Source organism: Homo sapiens, chromosome 1 (genome assembly GCF_000001405.40).
Source record: "Homo sapiens chromosome 1, GRCh38.p14 Primary Assembly".
Classification (NCBI taxonomy): Eukaryota; Metazoa; Chordata; class Mammalia; order Primates; family Hominidae; genus Homo; species Homo sapiens.
This window is the reverse complement of record NC_000001.11, coordinates 176024287-176043490: the sequence shown is the minus strand read 5'-3', so window position 1 is coordinate 176043490 and position 19204 is coordinate 176024287. Positions and strand designations below refer to the sequence as shown.

The 19204-nt window shown below is 35.4% G+C and overlaps 1 protein-coding gene across 31 annotated transcripts in view, besides 1 other annotated feature; it reads left to right on the top strand.

Moving 5' to 3' along the window:
* Positions 1-19204, top strand: part of COP1 (COP1 E3 ubiquitin ligase) — a 262456-nt gene that overhangs the window by 163796 nt on the left and 79456 nt on the right. For all 31 annotated transcript variants that reach the window (XM_047427793.1, XM_047427798.1, NM_001286644.2 and 28 more), the window contains 2 exons: positions 224-305; positions 15803-15919. In XM_047427793.1, the coding sequence (XP_047283749.1) occupies positions 224-305; positions 15803-15919 (199 nt within the window). The remainder of the gene's footprint in view (positions 1-223; positions 306-15802; positions 15920-19204) is intronic.
* Positions 12412-12612: a silencer, noted in NCBI's record as "peak473 fragment used in MPRA reporter construct". NCBI's record gives its function as "represses an SCP1 promoter by STARR-seq MPRAs in K562 erythroleukemia cells {active_cell/tissue: K562}" and the evidence as "EXISTENCE:reporter gene assay evidence [ECO:0000049][PMID:32103011]".

Here is a 19204-nt window from a genome sequence, read left to right as displayed (position 1 = left end):
GAATGTATCAGGTAAATTTCTAAAAGCAATAATTTTGGTAAATGTATAAAAAGTTTTGGAAGTACTTTATATCAACATCTTATTTGCTTTTCATTTGTTTTCTAGCCTGTTGTCTTTCCCTCTCCCCGTAACAATAAATTGATATCAGGTTTTTTTTTTTCTTGCTTTATTCATTTTGAGATCTGTATTCTATCTGAGGCTACTGTCTTCTTTCTGCTTCCAGGAGCATGAGAAGAGGTGTTGGAGTGTTGACTTTAATTTGATGGATCCTAAACTCTTGGCTTCAGGTTCTGATGATGCAAAAGGTACTGTTTGAATCTCTTTCTCAGCACCTCCTTCTCCCTGGCCCTCTTAACTGTAATTCCTTTCATCGGCAGAAATACAAATATTTACTCAAACTCATGTCAGTCCTTTGTGATTACTGATTATTATTATTCCCCATGTTGTTTTGTTTTGTTTTTTGAGATGGAATCTCACTCTGTCACCCAGGCTGGAGTACAGTGGCACAATTGTGGCTCAGTGCAACCTCTGCCTCCCGGGTTCAAGCGATTCTCCTGCCTCACCCTCCCGAGTAGCTGGAGTTACAGCCACGTGCCACCATGCCTGGCTAATTTTTATATTTTTGGTAGAGATGGGGTTTCAACATGTTAGCCAGACTGGTATCAAACTCCTGACCTCAAGTGATCTGCCTTGCTGCCTCGGCCTCTCAAAGTGCTGGGATTACAGATGTGAGCCACTTTTTTTTTTTTTTTTTTTTTTTGAGATAGAGTTTCACTGTGTCGCCCAGGCTGGAGTGCAGTGGCGCAGTCTCGGCTCACTGCAACCTCCACCTCCTGCGTTCAAGCAATTCTCCTACCTCAGCCTCCCATGTAACTGGGATTATAGGTGTGTACCACCACACTTGGCTAGTTTTTTTTTTTTTTTTTTTGAGACGGATTCTCGCTCTGCTGCCCAGGCTGGAGTGCAGTGGGGTGATCTCGGCTCACTGCAACCTCCGCCTCCCAGGTTCAAGCGATTCTCCTGCCTCACCCTCCCGAGTGGCTGGGATTACAGCCACCCACCACCATGCCTGGCTAATTTTTTGTATTTTTGGTAGAGGTGGAGTTTCACCATGTTAGCCAGACTGGTATCAAACTGACCTCAAGTGATCTGCCCTGCTGCCTCGGCCTCTGAAAGTGCTGGGATTACAGACATGAGCCACCTTTTTTTTTTTTTTTTTTGAGATAGAGTTTCGCTGTGTCGCCCAGGCTGGAGTGCAGTGGCGCAATCTCGGCTCACTGCAACCTCCACCTCCCGGGTTCAAGTGATTCTCCTGCCTCCACCTCCCATTTAGCTGGGATTATAGGTGTGCACCGCCACACTCGGCTAATTTTTTTTTTGAGACGTAATCTCGCTCTGCTGCCCAGACTGGAGTACAGTGGGGCAATCTCCGCTCACTGCAACCTCTGCCTCCCAGGTTCAAGCGATTCTTTTGCCTCAGCCTCCTGAGTAGCTGGGCCTACAGGCACGTGCCACCATGTCCGGCTAATTTTTGTATTTTTAGTAGAGATAGGGTTTTACCATATTGGCCAGGCTGGTCTCGAACTCCTGACCTCATGACCTGCCTGCCTCAACCTCCCAAAGTGCTAGGATTACAGATGTGAGCCACTGCACCTGGCTTCACCCAGTTAATTTTTTAAAAATTTTTAGTAGAGATGGGGTTTCACCGTGCTGGCCAGGCTGGTCTCGAACTCCTGACCTCCAGTGATCTACCCACCTCGACTTCCCAAAGTGCTGGAATTACCGGTGTGAGCCACCATGCCCGGCCTACTGTTTATTTTTTTAAAAATCCAAGCAGGGGCCGGGCGTGGTAGCTCATGCTTGTAATCCCAGCACTTTGTTTGGGAGATTGAGGCGGGTGGATCACTTGAGGCCAGAAGTTTGAGAACAGCCTGGCCAATGTGGTGAAACCCTGTCTCTACTAAAAATACAAAAATTAGCCAGGTGTGGTGGTGCAGGCCTGTGGTCCTAGCTACTGAGGGTGGCTGAAGCACAAGAATTGTTCGAACCTAGGAGGCAGAGGTTGTAGTGATTCCAGGTCTCGCCATTGCACTACAGCCTGGATGACAGAGCGAGACTCTGTCTCAAAAAAAAAAAAGAAAAAAAGAAAAAAAATCCAAGTAGAGAAATTGATTTCTCTTCTTGAGTGAATGAAAAATGAATGTACTGCATCCTTATTCTAATGATGTTTTTAGATTCATTCCACATGGAGACATTTAGAAATTGCTGCTATCTTATAACCAAGTCCTTTAGATAGATATACCACCAAATAACCTTTTTTTCCTGGAAATATTTAGAAATCTCTATGTGCTGCATTGTATTTAATTTCTATTGTATACTAAAATCTCTTAACGAAGTTCATCATATATCAAGGCAAAATTCTACATCACTTTTTGCCAATTTAATTGACCTTTTTTTTCTGTTTCTTGTATATCCATCTTTACTATTCACTGTTTTCTGTTTTTCCTTAATGTGCTGTTTTGGTCTGGTTCTTCTCACCATTAAGTGTATAAAGCTATGTTAACAGATTTATTTTATCTTAACATTACTACCCTTAATTTCTTTGCCTTTTTCTTCTTTTCTGCCTATAACTTTCAGTATTGTTTTGATAGGCAAGGATAGCTCTAGCATTGGAAGCTTTATTTCGCATCATGTTATGCCTTTCCCTTTGGCCTTTTAATACATAAAAGAAATGAAATAATGGAGCACAGTCTATTCTGTAAAAAGGGAAACAAACAAGAGTGGACTGCCCCTAAAAAGTTTTGGGCCATAGAGTAGCAAGTTGTTTATTCCTACTATATACAGAATGGAATACCTTTTTTCCTTGATTTAAGAACTCGTCAGCCAGGCATGGTGACTCACACCTGTAATCCCAGCAATTTTGGAGGCTGAGGCAGGAGGATGGCTTGAGGTCAGAAGTTTGAGACCAGCCTGCATGAGACCCTGTCTCTACAAAAAATTTTAAAAATTACCTGGGCGTGGTGGTGCGCACAGGTAGTCTCAGCGCTTGGGAAACTGGGGCAGGAGGATCTCTTGAGCCCAATAATTCAAGGTTACAGTGAGTGAGGATTGTGCCACACTGTACTCCAGCTTGGATGACAGAGCAAGACCCCATCTCAGAAAAGAAAGAGAAGGAGGGAAAAGGGGGTGGTACAGAGAGGGAGAAGGAGAGAGAGAGGAAGGGAGGTGAGAAAAAGAGGGAAGAGAGAGAAGAAAGAGCAAGAAAGTAAAGAAAGAAAAATTGTCCTTGAATTTCTAAATTAGTGAGAGTACCATGTTACAATAGATATATTTATTTTAGTTTTTTTATAGTGTTCTTTAATGCACAAAATTGTTTTCATTTTGAAGAAGTCCAGTTGGTGAGTTTATTTTTTCTTGTGTTGTCTGTGCCTTTGGTGTCATATCCAAGAAATCATTGCCAAATCCAGTGTCATGAAGGTTTTCCCGTAAGTTTTCTTCTAAGAGTTTTTAACTTTTTAATTTTTGTTTTTAAAGATTTTTTATAGTTTTAAGCTCCTATATTTATGTCTTTGATCCATTTTGAGTTAATTTTTGTAATATGATGTTAACGATCCACCTTTATTCTTTTATCTGTGGATATTTCATTTTTCCATCATCACTTGTTGAAAAAACTGTCCTTTCCCTATTGAATGGTCTGGCACCCTTGTCAAAAATTATTTGACCATATATGCAAGAGTTTATCTTTAGTCTTTCTCTGCTCTTCTGTTGGTTTATATGTCAATACCACACTGTAAGGCTGTTTTGAAATCAGAAATTTTAAGTCCTCCATCTTTGTTCTTTTTCAAGATTGTTTCAGTTATTTGGGATCTCTTGAAATTCTATATGAATTTTAAGGTAATTTTTTTTTTTTCTGTAAAACATTCTTTGAGGTTTTGGTAAGGATTGAATTGAGCCTTATTGATGTTACTGATCTTTTCAAACCACCAACTTTTGTTTCATTGATTTTTCTCATGTGGTTTCTTGTTTTCATTCATCTATTTTTGCTCTAGTTTTTTTTTTCCCTGCTTACTTTAGATTTAACTTGCTCTTATTTTCCTAGTTTTCTAAAGCAGAAGCTTACATTATTGATTTTAGATCTTCTAATATATGTATTCAGTGCTATGAATTTCCCTTTTATGTAGTGCTTTTGATTCATCCTGCAAATTTTGATAAATTGTATTTTTATTTTCACTTAGTTCTGAATATTTTAAATTTCCCCTGAGATTCCTTTTTTGATGTATGTGTTACTTAGAATTATTTGGGAATTTTTCAGCTATTTTTCTGTTACTGATTTCTAGTTTAATTCCACTGTGATCTAACAGATACAATGTATGATCTCCAGTCTCGTAAATTAACATGTTAAGATGTGTTTTATGGCCCCAGAATGTGGTGTGTCCTCCTAAAAGTTCCATATGAGCCTGAGAATAATGTGTATTCTACTGTTAGTGAAAGAAATAATCTGTAGATGTCAGTTACATCCAGTTGTTTGATGGTACCATTCAGTTTAGCTGTTTCATTGCTCATTTTCTGATTGTTGGATCTGTCCATTTCTGATAAAGGGATGTGTATGGGCCTGTTTTTAGACTCTGCATTGATCTGTGTATCTATCTTTTTCTTTTCTTTTTTTTTTTTTTGAGATGGAGTCTAGCTCTGTTGCTCAGGCTGGAGTGCAATGATATGATCTTGGCTCACCACAACCTCCGCCTCCCGGGTTCAAGCGATTCTCCTGCCTCAGCCTCCTGAGTAGCTGGGATTACAGGCGCACGCCACCACACGTGGCTGATTTTTGTATTTTTAGTAGAGATGGCATTTCACCATATTGGTCAGGCTGGTCTCGAACTCTTGACCTTGTGATCTGCCCGCCTTGGCCTCCCAAAGTGCTGGGATTACAGGCATGAGCCACCATGCCCAGCCCTATCTCTTCTTTTACTTGTACCATGTTGTCTTGATTTGTAGCTTGTAATAAGTCTGAAATCAAGTAGTAAGTCCTTCATCCTTGTTTTTGAAAATGATTTTTAACTCTTCTATTTCCTTTGCCTTTTCATATACATTTTAGAATCAAGTTGCTAGTACCTACATAAAATCCTGCTGAGATTTTGATTGCCATTGTATTCAATCTATAGATCAATTTGGGAAAAATTAAAATCTTAATATACTGAGTCTTCTAGTCCATGAACATGGTTTATCTCTCCATATGTAGGGCTTTTATGATTTCTTTTCTCATAGTTTTGTCATTTTCAGCATGCAAGTTTCGCAGGTATTTTATTTTTTGGTGCTAATGAAAATGGTATTTTTAAAAATTTCATTCTTACTAGTTTATAGAAATACAGTTGATATTTAAAATATAAACATTGTGCCAATGTACTTGCTAAAGTCACTGTAGGTATAGATTACTTTTTCAGATTCCTTGGGATTTTCTACATAGCCAATTACGTCATCTGCAAATAGAAACATAAATACTTTTTCATTTTCAACTGTATGCCTTTCTTTCCCGTTCCTGCCTTGCTTTTTTGTACTGGCAAGGACTTCAGTATAATGGTAAATAGGAATGACAACAGTGAACCTTTCTTGCTTTGTTCCTGATGTTAGGGGGAAATCTTGCAGCTTTTCATCACTTAATATACTGACTAAATTAGGCTTTTAGTAGGCACCTGTGTCAATTTAAAGACGTTCTTTTCCATTCCCTTGTTTGCTGAGAATTTTTATCATGATGGATATTGAATTTTGTTAAATACTTTTTATGCACGTATCATCATGTAGTTTCTCTTTATTAATATTATGAATTATAGTCATTGACTTTCAAAACTTGAATTAGCCATACATTCCCAGGATAAACATGAATGTATTATTCTTTTTCTGTATTTCTAGATTTGACTTGAGGTTTTTTTGTTTGTTTGTTTTTTTCAGAGGGTGAATTTTTTTGTTGTTTTTTTTCTGTTTTTGTAATTTTTCGTGACTTTGATATCAGGGTAATGCTGGCCTCATAAAATGATTTTCCTCTTCTATGTGCTATGTGTTTTTTTTTTTCTTATACTTTTTTTTTTTGAGACGGAGTCTTGCTCTGTCGCCCAGGCTGGAGTGAAGTGGCATGATCTCGGCTCACTGCAAGCTCCACCTCCCAGGTTCATGCCATTCTCCTGCCTCAGCATCCCGAGTAGCTGGGACTACGGGCACCCGCCACCATGCCTGGCTAATTTTTGTTTTTGTATTTTTAGTAGAGACGGGGTTTCACTGTGTTAGCCAGGACGGTCTCCATCTCCTGACCTCGTGATCCGCCTGCCTCGGCCTCCCAAAGTGCTGGGATTACAGGCTTGAGCCACTGCGCCTGGCCTATTCTTTTGTTCTTAAATGTTTGGTAGAATTTGTCAGTGAAGCTTTCTGGGCGTGTAGTTTTCTTTGTTTGAAGGTTTTAACTAAGAATTTAATTTCCTTAGTAGATTTCGAACTAATAAACTTATCTGTCTCTTCTTGAGTGTAATTTTTGACAGTTCATTTCCTTCAGGGAATCGATACATTTTATTTGTTACAAGATTTATGGGCATCAAAGTCCATAAAATGCTCCTCCACTTACAATGGGATTACAGTCCCAATAAGTCCATCATAAATTGAAAATGCATTTAATACTTCTAATCGTAGCTTAGCCTAACCTACCTTAAATGTGCTCAGAATATTTACATTGGCCTACAATTAAGCAAAATAACACAAAGACTTTTACAATACAATGTTGAATAATACAGGTAAGAATATCATACCACATATCACTAGCCTGGTGAAATATCAAAATTCAAAATTGGAAGTATGGTTCCTACTGAATGCACATTGCATTCTCACCATTGTAAAGTCAAAAAATCATAAGTTGAGCTATTTAAATTGGGGACTGTCTATATTTGTAATATACTCATATCTCTAGGGTTTGTAGCCATGCTTTTTTTTTTTTTTTTTTTGTTTTTTTGTTTTTTTCATTACCTCTGAGAAGCTGTGATGAAGTCATCTTCTGTCTTTTATTCCTGATAATTGGTATTTTGTGTCCTCTCGTTTATTTATTGTTTATTAATTTAGGTCAGCTTGGCATTAGGTTCTTAATCTTTTCAAATGCTCAACTTTTGGTTTTGTTGATTTTTCTGTAATTTTCTATTTTTAATTTCATAGATTTCTGCCCATTTTTCTTCTTGCTTTGGGTTTAATTTCCTCCCCTTTCTAGTTTTTTGAAGATTGAAGTTTATGTCATTTGATACTTCTGTCTTTTTAATCTGAACATTTTTTGTTATATACATTTCCCATTAAGCACTACTTTAGCAAATTTTGAAACAAATTTGAAACCAAGTTTTCATGACTATTTACTATTATATTTGCTATTATATTATTTTCATGACTAGTATATTTGCTTTTCCATTCTGTTTAAAATTCTGTTTGATTTCTCTTGTTATTCTCTTGTTCATCTATGGATTGTTTAAAGTATATTTAAATTTCCTTAAAATTTTCAGAAATCATTCTGTTGCTGATTTATAACTTAATCCTCTTATGGTTAAAGGATATATTTTACATAGTGTTAACTTTTTTAATTTGTTATTTGTTTTATGGTCCAGAATATGAACTACCTTGATAAATATTTCAAATGCATTGAAAAGAAACTGTACTATAAATGCTGTTTGGTGAGTGTTCTGTAAGTGTCAGATCAAAGTTGTTGCTACTGTATTTCTGATTTTCTGTATGCTTGCGTTTTTTTTTTTTTTTTTTTTTTGGTCTCGTTTTATTGATTATGAGACAGAAATGTTAAAGTCTGATTTTATTTCTCTGTTTAGTTACCTTTTTTGTGTTAAGTGTGTTTTTACCTGATATATTTTGAAACTATTGTTAAGGGCATAAATGTATTTGGGATTGTTATGTCTTGGTGGACTGAATCATTTGTTAATATATAATATCACTATCCCTGTCAATATTCCTCTGAAAACTACTTTGTCACATACTTATCAAACTACTGCTAGTAATCTCTTTTTCCTCTCCTCTGGGATTTTAATTATGTTAGTGTATTAGACCCTTTCGTTCTGTCTCATAGACCTCATATTCTTTTTCTTGTCAATATTTTTTTCTCTTCAGGTTGGGTAATTTATATTGTTCTGTCTTCTAGCTCATGATTCCTTCATCTGTCATCTCCATTTTGCAAAAATTTTCATTTGATTCTTTTTAAAAAAAAAATAGTTTCTATATATTCTCTGAGTACTTCTATCTTTCCATTAATTTTAAGTTTGTTTATTTTTACCCCATGGAGTATAATTACAATAGTTGCTTTAAAATCTGTTTCATTTAATGTCTTGGGATCCAACATCTAAACCTTAGGACTGACCTTTGTTAATTGTGTTTTCCTTTGAAAATTCTTCACATTTTCTTGGGTTTTTGTATGTTGAATAATTTTGGGGTTGTCTCTTAGCCATTTTGAATATTATATTGTAAGATGTTGGGTCCTGTTTAAATTGTGTGGGAAATGTTGGTTTTTTGTTTGTTTCTTCATTTCTTAGTAGGTGATCAGTTGGCTTAGATTTAGACTGTAAGTTCTGTCTTGCTTTCCCTAGGTGATTGTTGCCTTGTCAAAGGAAACAATCAGTTCATTTCTCAGAGCTTTTGCTGTGGTACTTTGAGTCTGCCTAATGCCCATGCCAGTTAGAGCTTAGTTTAGGACTTGGGTCATCTTTTCAACTGTAGTTCAGTGCGCAAAGCATTTGCTGCTCTGCTTTGTGTCCATCTTGCACATACACAGCTCAGAAGTGACTGTGCCAGTGAATGCACAGAACTGTAGAATCTCCTTCTCCATTACTTTCTTTCCAGGTTTCTCCCCGACTCTTTATCTCCCAGGGCCCCCTTTTACTGATACTTTGTCAAGAAGGTTGGGTTGTTTCATTTTAGGAGACTTTAGTGCCCAGTCTACTGCTGAATTCTGTTAGTAGGGCCCACCACAAGGGCAAAGAAGCAAGAGAATAAATAAGAAAAATATAATGGGGATTCGCCTTTTTCATATTCGTTATATCACAGATGCTCCTTTTTATATACACAGAGTTTTACTCTGAGTATTAGCTTCTCATACTGCTGTAGCTCTGTGACTGAAGCCCACCCATGGGGAAAAGTTGGAGGAGAAAAAGAGTAAAAAGGAAAAAATTACTCCCAATCCCTGGTTTGCTGAAGTCATTAATAAACACAACAATTTTACTTAGTGTTTGTTGCTTGAGGTGCTGACTTTAGCTTGCCAAGGGAGAAGAGAGGGGGAAAAATGGTACTCTTCATCCCGAATTTCATTTAAGTTTAGAATTCTGTCCTGGAAATGACTGTTTTTGTTTACTTTTTCAGTTTCCTCATATAGTTGCTTTTGTTTTTTGGATATTGTCCAGAGTAAACTCAAAGTGAGAGAGATTGGCTTACTCTCTCAGCTTGGCAGTAAAAGTCTCAAATGCTTTTAAGCCCATCTTAAGAGTATTATTTAGTGTTACTTAAATGTATTTATTACTCTTGTCTGTTTGGCGATCATATAAAATATTGCCTTTGTGATAACTTTATAGTTAGAGAATATTTTAAATCACTTATTTTATACAAATATATTTTGCTTATTTTCTATATTTTGTATTTAGTAAATGTTTAACTGAGGAATTTTTTAAACAGCTATTTTTTTCATTGCTTAAATAAAAACTGAGTTCATATGAATATTTTTCCTACATATGCTGTATATTTTTAAAATAATTTAGTTCCAAGTATATATGCACGTAATTACATGTTAAAGAACCATCATTATGTGGCAGCTAATCAGAAAGGAATTTTATGAGTCATTTTAAAGGTTCTTTTGGAGAAATATATTTTCCTTTTTAAATATGTAACCTGAGAATTGTTTCCAATAAATAACCTTGCCTTTGAATTAAACACATTCTTTAAAGGTATTTTTCTTTAAATGTGAGTTTGAAGAATTTAGACTGTATGATAGCAGAAGTTACAGGTTCTTCTTCATTCCAGATTTCCTTAATATTATTATTATTATTATTTTGAGACAGAGTTTTGCTCTTGTTGCCCAGGCTGGAGTGCAATGGCACGATCTCAGCTCACTGCAGCCTCCACCACCCGGGTTCAAGCAGTTCTCCTGCCTCAGCCTCCCAAGTAGCTGGGGTTACAGGCATGTTCCCCCCACCCTCGCCCCGACAGCTGGCTAATTTTGTATTTTTTTAAATAGAGATGGGATTTCACCATGTTGGTCAGGCTGGTCTCCAACTCCTGATCTTAAGTGATCCACCCACCTCGGCCTCCCAAGGTGCTGGGATTACAGGCATGAGCCACCGCACCTGGCCCTTCATTCCAAATTTTCTTAGTTGCATAAGTTAATGCACAAGTGACAACTGTGAAGTCTTGGTAGATTTTAGAAATCAGTTAGTGAAACTCATGCTGATTGTAATGCTTCCAGTTTTTCATCAGCAGATTAAATAACTTAATAAATAGCATTATGATAACAGTTATTATAATTTATAACTTTAGAGGCAATTACCTTTCCTATAAGTTAAAGCTTTACTAAGTATATTCTCTCCTGAATTTAAATGAAATGTTAAAGACTTATGTTGATCAGCATCCATCATGGCCTCCAGGGATCTCTGCCTGCTAGTGTTCTTATGCTTGTGTAGTTCCCCTTCACCTACCTTGTTCCAGGCTTCATTTATGTGACCAGTAGATGTCTCTTCTAAAATTAGGTTATAAAAGACTCTGTAGCCTCTATCTTCATCATTTTCTCTCTTCGCAGTCGCTTGGTTTGGGAGAAACATCTGCGTTGTCACAAGCCCACATGGTGGGGAACTGAAGCCTTATGCCAAAAGTCATGTTGAGTGAGCTTGGAAGTGGTAGTTTAATAGTCTAGAGTCCTAGGAGGGACAGCTCAACTGCAGTGTGTTGAGACTGAGCCACAACTACCCAGCTTACCTGCTCTGAGATTCTTGACCTCCAAAACTGTGTGAGATAGTATATGTTTGCTGTTTTAAGTAGCTAAGCTTTAGGGCAGTTTGCTGTATGACAACGTCTAGCTACTAATACATGGTCTGTTGTTTCCCTTTGACAAAGTTTTTAAGAGTCCAGCTTATTTATATTTGGTAAACAGTATTAAAGTTTACATCTTTGTATTTAATCTTTCATACTTTTTATAGAGGTATAAAACAATACACATTGCCCCTGAGTTTTATGGTAGTTTTTGTTGAAATAGCACTCTCCCTTTTTACTCATATGGGTAACTTTCTGTTTTCTGTAGGACCTGGACAGTAGTTTAGAAGCGAGTCTGGAAGAATTCCATATGAAACTTACTCATATTTGCACATCCTCATTAAAGCATTGGGCTGTTTTACTGTGTCAAACTTCTGTCCCTGTTTTCTCTTTCTTTGGTAATGAATTCTTTCTTAGGATACTTTGGTGCAAATAGACATGCAGTAGGCGCTGTCAGAGAAACTCAGAAACATAAACCTTGCACACTGGAACTGAATCTGATGTTATTATAGATAAGCAATATCTTGTTCTCTATTTTTGGAAACAATTTTAGCAAACTACTTTGGGGAATGATTCACTCAAATTTTACAGATTATTAGATGATATACTTTATTCTGTAGTGTAGTTGGATTTTTTAAGATTCAGGATTTCAAAATCGAACTGAAAAATTAGGTGACACTTAGAAGACACTTTACACATTAACGTTAAAGAAATAAAACTTGTATAGAACACTTAGTGTTAAGTAACAAATTTATGGCCAACTAGAGTATGTTTCTTTATTTTAACCTCCTAATTATGGTATGATTTTCCTAATGGTTACTCTTTTGATTATTTACTGAGAGCCAAAGGAGGCCATATGTAAATAAATACAGTGTATTTTATTTGATTTAATTGCTTTAGCTCTTCACCTAGAAGATGATATTTTCTTTTAAATTTACTTTTTCTTTCGAAGGGAATTTTCGTCAATAAATTCTGAAATTTAAATTTTGGAAGTTAAATGAAATTCTTACTACCATCCTTGCAAGGAAAAAGTAACAGTAAAGGTGTTCTTATTAATTTGTATACTGTCTCCTTATTTTGAGGATCGCCTCATTTATATTTGGCTTAGTTTCTTCTCATACTTGATTTCTTCTACGCTTCCTCCAAAAGATTATACTATTTTATCTTTCGATCTGTGATGCCATCTTAGGATATTAAATAGATTTCAATATTATTTCATTATATTTGTTGTATTAGTTTTTTAGGGCTACCATAAGAAAGCATACCACAAACAGGCTGGCTTAAGACAACAGAAATTTGTTCTCTCATAGTACTGAAGACCAGAAGCCCAAAATTAGATTGTTGGCAGGGCCACACTCTCTGTGAAGGCTCTGGGGAAAAATTATTTCTTGTCTCCTTCCTAATTTCTGGTTATTGATGGTCATTCTTATTATTTATTGACTTGTAGCTGTATCATTCTGGTCTTGGCTCTCTTCACACATGGCCTTCTTCTCACTGTGCCTTTGTCTCTAAATCTCTCTCTCCTTATGAAGACACCAGTCAATGGATTTAGGACCCATCCTAATCTAGTCTGACGTAATTTTAACTTTGTTACATCTGCAAATACCCTATTTCCAAATAAGGTGATGTTCACAAGTACCTGGGGTTAGGACTGAAACATGTCTTTTTGGGGAACACAATTAACACCTGTTTTGTTTAATAACCACTGAAATTATTGTAATCTCTATACCGCTTTTCCATGCTGTATTCATTTAGTGTATCTTTATTTTTAATCTTAGTTACCCTTGTAGCTCAGACAGTTATATTGAATTCTAATATCTTATATATTGAAAATTATAATCATGGTGGTTAATGTTGTGACTTATTTAAATAATATTAATGATTACTGCATTGAGAAAATTACCATGAAATTACAAAAGACCTGCCACCCTTCTAACTTAACTGTCATTCTGTCAGTACTGTTTTTTTCTCACTTATATTTAATTAACGTTAAACAACGATACATAATGCTTGTTTGTAAAGGTTTTTAGTGATTATAAGTGGGGTTATGGGCACAGTAAGTGCTCCATACTTATCTATTGTGAATTACCTTTGGGCCTAGGCTGTTAGAGTATAATCCAGTCAAAGTCCACTTAATAATCTAATCTTTAAGTGCTATGTTCGGCATGTTGACTTTTAATTCCAGGGAGCCATCTCATCTTAGAATTGTATGTCGTGATTGACCAAATGATTGCATTTTGATTGAAATAGTACATCATGCTTATTGGAGAATAACATGGAACAAATCAAATATTGCTATTTAAAAATCTTACTCCATCTCTACTTTAAAAAAAATATATTAGCCAGGCGTGGTGGTGTGCATCTGTAGTCCCAGTTACTCAGGAGGCTGACATGGGAGGATCACTTGAATTCAGGAGTCCAAGGCTGCAGTGAGCTATGATCATACCAGTGCACTCCAGGATGGGTGGCAGAGTTTGAGACCTTGTCTCAAAAAATACTACTACTAATAATAATGATTCCTATTTTAATATTGAGGGTCTTAGTTTACTGTGGGAAGGCTAATAAATTTATCAGATTGTAAATTAGCAATATTTTTTGATAATGATTAATTTCTACTTGGAGATTTCACATATTAAATTCTTACGTAATCCCGTTTCATAGAAGTGGTATTTATTGGAACCAGTTTTACTTATTTTATTCACTGCTGTCTACAGGTTACTGTATCAGTATTTCTAAAAATATTCTAAGATTTTTTACTATGCTTCCATTCCCAATACTGGTTTCCAACCCCAAATGCATGTTAGAATCACCTGGAGAGCTTTTTTAAAAAACAACAGTACCTGGACCCTCTCTGGATAATGTCCTGGATGGGACACTGGGACAGATTGAAAGATGGATGGAAAGATTTTGTTGTTGTTGTTAATGTTCATTTATTTATTCTAATGTGCATCCAGGATGACAACTTATATACTGAAAATCTATTTTATGGGTGTATCCTGTCTTACTGTTTTTATTGTTGAAAAATGATATGATAGTTGCTCTGGTACCTTTGTAAAATGGCAACTCATTTTCTGCTTCTGCTTTCAAATCAGACCTATTTTGCTTAGTCAGCTTTGCTCTCCCTAATCATTACAAATTTTAATATATATCACTGGCTTAGACTACTTATTCAAATACAAAACCAAAATTTTGCAATTTAACTAAATAATTCTAGAATATATTACTTTAGACATATTTAAGTTGTATAACTGAATTACTACATAAAAATTTAAAATCATGAAATTCTTAATTGAAAGATAAAATAAGAACAGTTTCCAAGTGCTTTAAAGATGTTTGTGTACATTTTCATATTTATGATGTATATCAGTATACAGTCATATGCACACACATTTAACGAATAATTGGCTGGGCCCAGTGGCTCACATCTGTAATCTCAACATTTTGTGAGGCTGAGGTGGGCAGATTGCTTGAGCCCAGGAGTTTGAGACCAATCTCAGCAACGTGATGAAACCCTGTCTTTACAAAAAAAATAGAAAACAGGTAGCTAGGCCTGGTGACACACACCTAGCTACCCGGGAGGCTGAGTGGGGAGAATCACCTGAGCCTAGGAGGTAGAGGCTGCCTGAAGTGAGGCATGATTGTGCCACTGCACTCCAGCCTGAATGACAGAGTGAGGAGAACCTGTCTCAAAAATAATAATAATAATAAAAAGAATAATATATATAAAACTATATATATATATATATATATATATATATATGAAACAAATATACCACCTAGCTCCAGATTGCTTTTTTTGTTCCTGTCTTTTATGTCTTAGTTGTGGGTCTGTGTTACATCTGAGTATAAATTTATCGTTTATCTATATTGATTTTTCCTTTTTATTGATTTTTCTTTTTTTATTTCATTTCATTTCATTTTTTTTTTTTGGTGGCATGATCTCAGCTCACTGCAACCTCTGCCTCCTGGACTCAAGTGATTATTCCACCTCAGCTTCCTGAGTAGCCAGGACTACAGGCCTGCACCACCATGCCCAGCTAACTTTTGTATTTTTAGTAGAGGCAGGGTTTCACCATGTTGCCCACGCTAGTCTCTTAACTCCTGAGCTCAAGTGATCTGCTGCCTCAGCCTCCCAAAGTGCTGTGATTACAGTCATGAGCCACTGTGCCCGACCTTTTTATCTATATTGATTTTTGACATTGAAACTAAGCTCTCTTGGTTTTAATGTTATTCTGTTATTCAGTCATTCAGTGATATGGTTTGGCTGTGTCCCCACCCAGATCTCACCTTGAATTATGATAATCCCCATGTGTCAAGGATGGGGCCAGGTGGAGATAATTGAATCATAGCAGGTGGTTTCCCCCATACTGTTCTCGTGGTAATGAATAAGTCTCATGAGATCTGATGGTTTTATAAATGGGAGTTCCCCTGCACACGCTCTCTTGCCTGCCCCCAGGTAAGACATGACTTTGCTCCTCATTCACCTTCTGCCATTGTTGTGAGTCCTCCTCAGCCGTGTGGAACTGTGAGTCAATTAAACCTCTTTTTTTTTTTTTTAATAAATTACCCAGTTTCAGGTATCTTTTTATTAGCAGTGCGAGAACAGACAAATACATTCAGCTTTAACACTTTTAGTCCTAGTAAACCAAATGTTTTAGAGTGGCACAAAAAGATTTCTGGAGCAATAAGCCAACTTTCCCAAGTTACAGAAGCATTTACTAATGTATTACTTGTTTCTCTTTTTGTTTTTATTGTCCTTTGCCCTTAGTGAAGCTGTGGTCTACCAATCTAGACAACTCAGTGGCAAGCATTGAGGCAAAGGCTAATGTGTGCTGTGTTAAATTCAGCCCCTCTTCCAGATACCATTTGGCTTTCGGCTGTGCAGGTAAGAAATGAAAGCAGATTTGTCTTCCTTTGATGTTGGTTAAATATCATGGTAAGGATAGGAGAGCATTTTAAAACAAATAACTCTTTTGTAGGTTTAAATGTTGTTTTTATTATTAGGCTCTAAATTAGAAGTATACAGTATGCCATCATTACTCATTTAGTGCTGTACCTTAATTGCACTATTCTGTCACTTATCTTTAATACGTAGATATGAATTTGTTAATTTTTGTCATTTTTCTTAGTGTTTATATGCATGAATTAATGCTTATTACTTATTCACAAACATAAGGTCATAATAACATTTAAACAATTAAGCTATTATTAAGCTATATTGTATAGGCACAGGAACACTTTTTTTAAGGCAAACTATTCTTTCAACAATTATTTATTGAGTCCCTACTATGCACAAAGCACTCATCTAGGGACAGTGAATAAGACATAGTCTTGTATCATGGAGTTCATGCTAACATAGTATTCAAAAAATGTTTGCTATTATTATCATACCAAATAATCATTTGGTAAATTATTTTTCTTAACTAGGGTGACCATATGTCGGTGTTTGCCTGGGACAGTCCTAGTTCACACCGTTTGTACCATTGTATTTATTATTAGTGCCCTCTTTCATTCACAAAAGTGTCATGAGTTGGAAGGAAGATAAATCATATGGTCACCCTACCCTTAATTTTTTTATCTTTCATATTTTCCCCCTTGAATATTTACTAAAATAGTAAATACTTGTAATTTGGCTTCTGAATGGTGAAGTCTTATTTTTTATTAATAATATCAGGGTTTTACAAAAAAAAATACAAGTTAGCACCATATGATGGAGACAGTAGCAACTTTTAAAAAAAGGAAATGCATAATTTAAACCATGTCACTATACTTTTTCCTTTTATTCAACTCACTGTGTCACTGGGCTACTGACATAATTTCATAGTTCAGTTTAAGGAGGACATGGACTAACAAGTAGATGTGGGTAAAATTCTCTTTTTTTTAGCATATAGAATTTATTTTTAATGATTACATGCTGTTTTCATTTGATCCTACTTCTGTCTTGTTTAAATACTTACTTTGTCACAAATTAGAAATGTGACCTTGAGCAAGTTCTTTAACTTTCTCCCAAGTTTTTTATCTGTAACATAGAGGTAGAGCTGTTTGGGGCTGTTATGAGGATTATGGAAAAAAGATTCTTTGTGTAAAGTTCTTATAGTTGTTATTTTTATTATTAATATTATGTATTCAATTAAAATATATACTCTTAGTTTATTGAGTTTGAGTGTATGTTCTGTTTTATAAACATACTGGCCATCATTTATGGATATAATATTTTATCAGTATTTAATTAATTTGTACCAATGCCAGATATGAATATTATCAAATTTTCTCCTTCTTGGAAAATAGGAACCTACTTTAAAAATGCTTCCGCTATCTGCTAGGCAGTTTTCCCCAGTATTATACATTTTCATACATTTCTTAGTTATTTTTCTCATTTAATTTTCCATGTAAGCTTTAAGATTTATAGTTTTCCAATTCTAGAAAAATTCTTTTGGGATTCTTATCAGACTTTCTTGTATTTATTTGCTGATTTTAGAACCATTGGCATTATTGTGATAGTATGTCTTTCCACAGTTACATTAGGTGTCTTTTTTATTTGTTTGGGTTTTCTTTTTTTTTGGTTTTTTTGTTTTTATGAGACAGGGTCACCCAGGTTGAGTACAGTGGCACGATCACAGCTCACTGCAGCCTGGTCCTCCCTGGCTCAAGTGATCCTCCAACCTCAGCCTCCCAAGTAGCTGGGACTACAGGCGTGCACCACCACACCTGGCTAATTTTTGTATTTTTCGTAGAGATGAGGTTTTGCCATGTTGCTCAGGCTGTTCTCAAACTCCTGGGCTCAAGCAGTCTGCCTACCTCAGCTTCCCAAAGTGCTGGGATCACTGCGCCCTGGCTATTGTTTGGGTTGTTTTCTGTCTTTCAATGAGATTTCATAATATACTTACTTTAGGTTCTGGACTTTTCTGGTCAATTTTTTTTCCTATATATGTTACCATTTTTGTTATTTTTAATAAAATTTTATTGTCCACTCTTTTTTTAGGTTTTTTTTTTTTTTGCTAAATGTAGACAAAACTTGTTCATATTTGGATATTTGTTTTGTATCTTGGGACCTTATAAATTTTTTACATTAAGTCTAGTAGCTTTTTAGTAGTGTTTGGGTTTTCTGTTTATACTTGATATCTGCCCAAAGCAGTAATTGCATTTCTTCTTTTCCAATGATTTATCACATTCTCTACCTCTAAGGCAGAGTTATACTAGTGATAGCATCCTCCCCCATCTATTTCATTTAGTTGAATGAGCTTTAGTGTTCTGCTGTTTAGAATATCTACTTTTGAAAAATATTTTATTATTCAAATTGTTTTACTTTACTGTTTCTTAATTAGAAGCAAAACAGTATTTTATCAAGTACCTTTTAGCACCAATTGGTGCTTATGCTTTTTCTAACACTGAATTGTATTTTTCTTGAATGAACCTTGCTTTGGCATAATGTAGAATTATTTTGATAAACTACTATATTTAATTGGTAATTTTAAATCCATATATTAAATTAGCCTATTATTCATTTTATCTTTTTTAACTATCTTTGCCATTTTTATCATCAATAGTTTTGTAATTTTCAGTGTAGAAGTCTTGAACTTCTTTTGTTAAATTTATCCTTATTTTGTTACTTTCATTTCTGTTGTGAATGGAATTGCTTTTAAATTTTATTTTTTGATTGTTTTGTTAATAGTGCACAGAAATACCATTGATTTTTATATATCTCTCTTGTATCTCTAACACTGCTTCTCTTTATTCTTGTTTTATTGTGGATTTCTTGGGGTTTTCTACACGTAGAATCATATCTGCAGTTGAACAATTTATGAATGCCATTTTGCTTTATTGTATTAGCTAGAAGATCAAGTACAATGTTAAATAGAAGTGGTAAAAGTATGAAAAACTTTTTATCATACGTGAAGAGCGTTTAGTCCTTCACAATTAAGTATGGTGTTGGCTGTGAGGTTTTTTGTAGATACTTTTTATCAGTTTGAGTAATTTTTTATCTGTTCCTAGTTTGCTAAGAGTTTTTGTTATGAATAGGTGTTAGATTTTGTCAGATGCTTTTTTTTTGCCTCTGTTGAGGTTGATTGTGAGGTTGATGTCCCATACTATAGTAATATGGGACAGTAATGTTACTATAATATTAAACCAGCTTTTCAAGTACTTTTGTGTCTGTGTTAGTAATGGATAT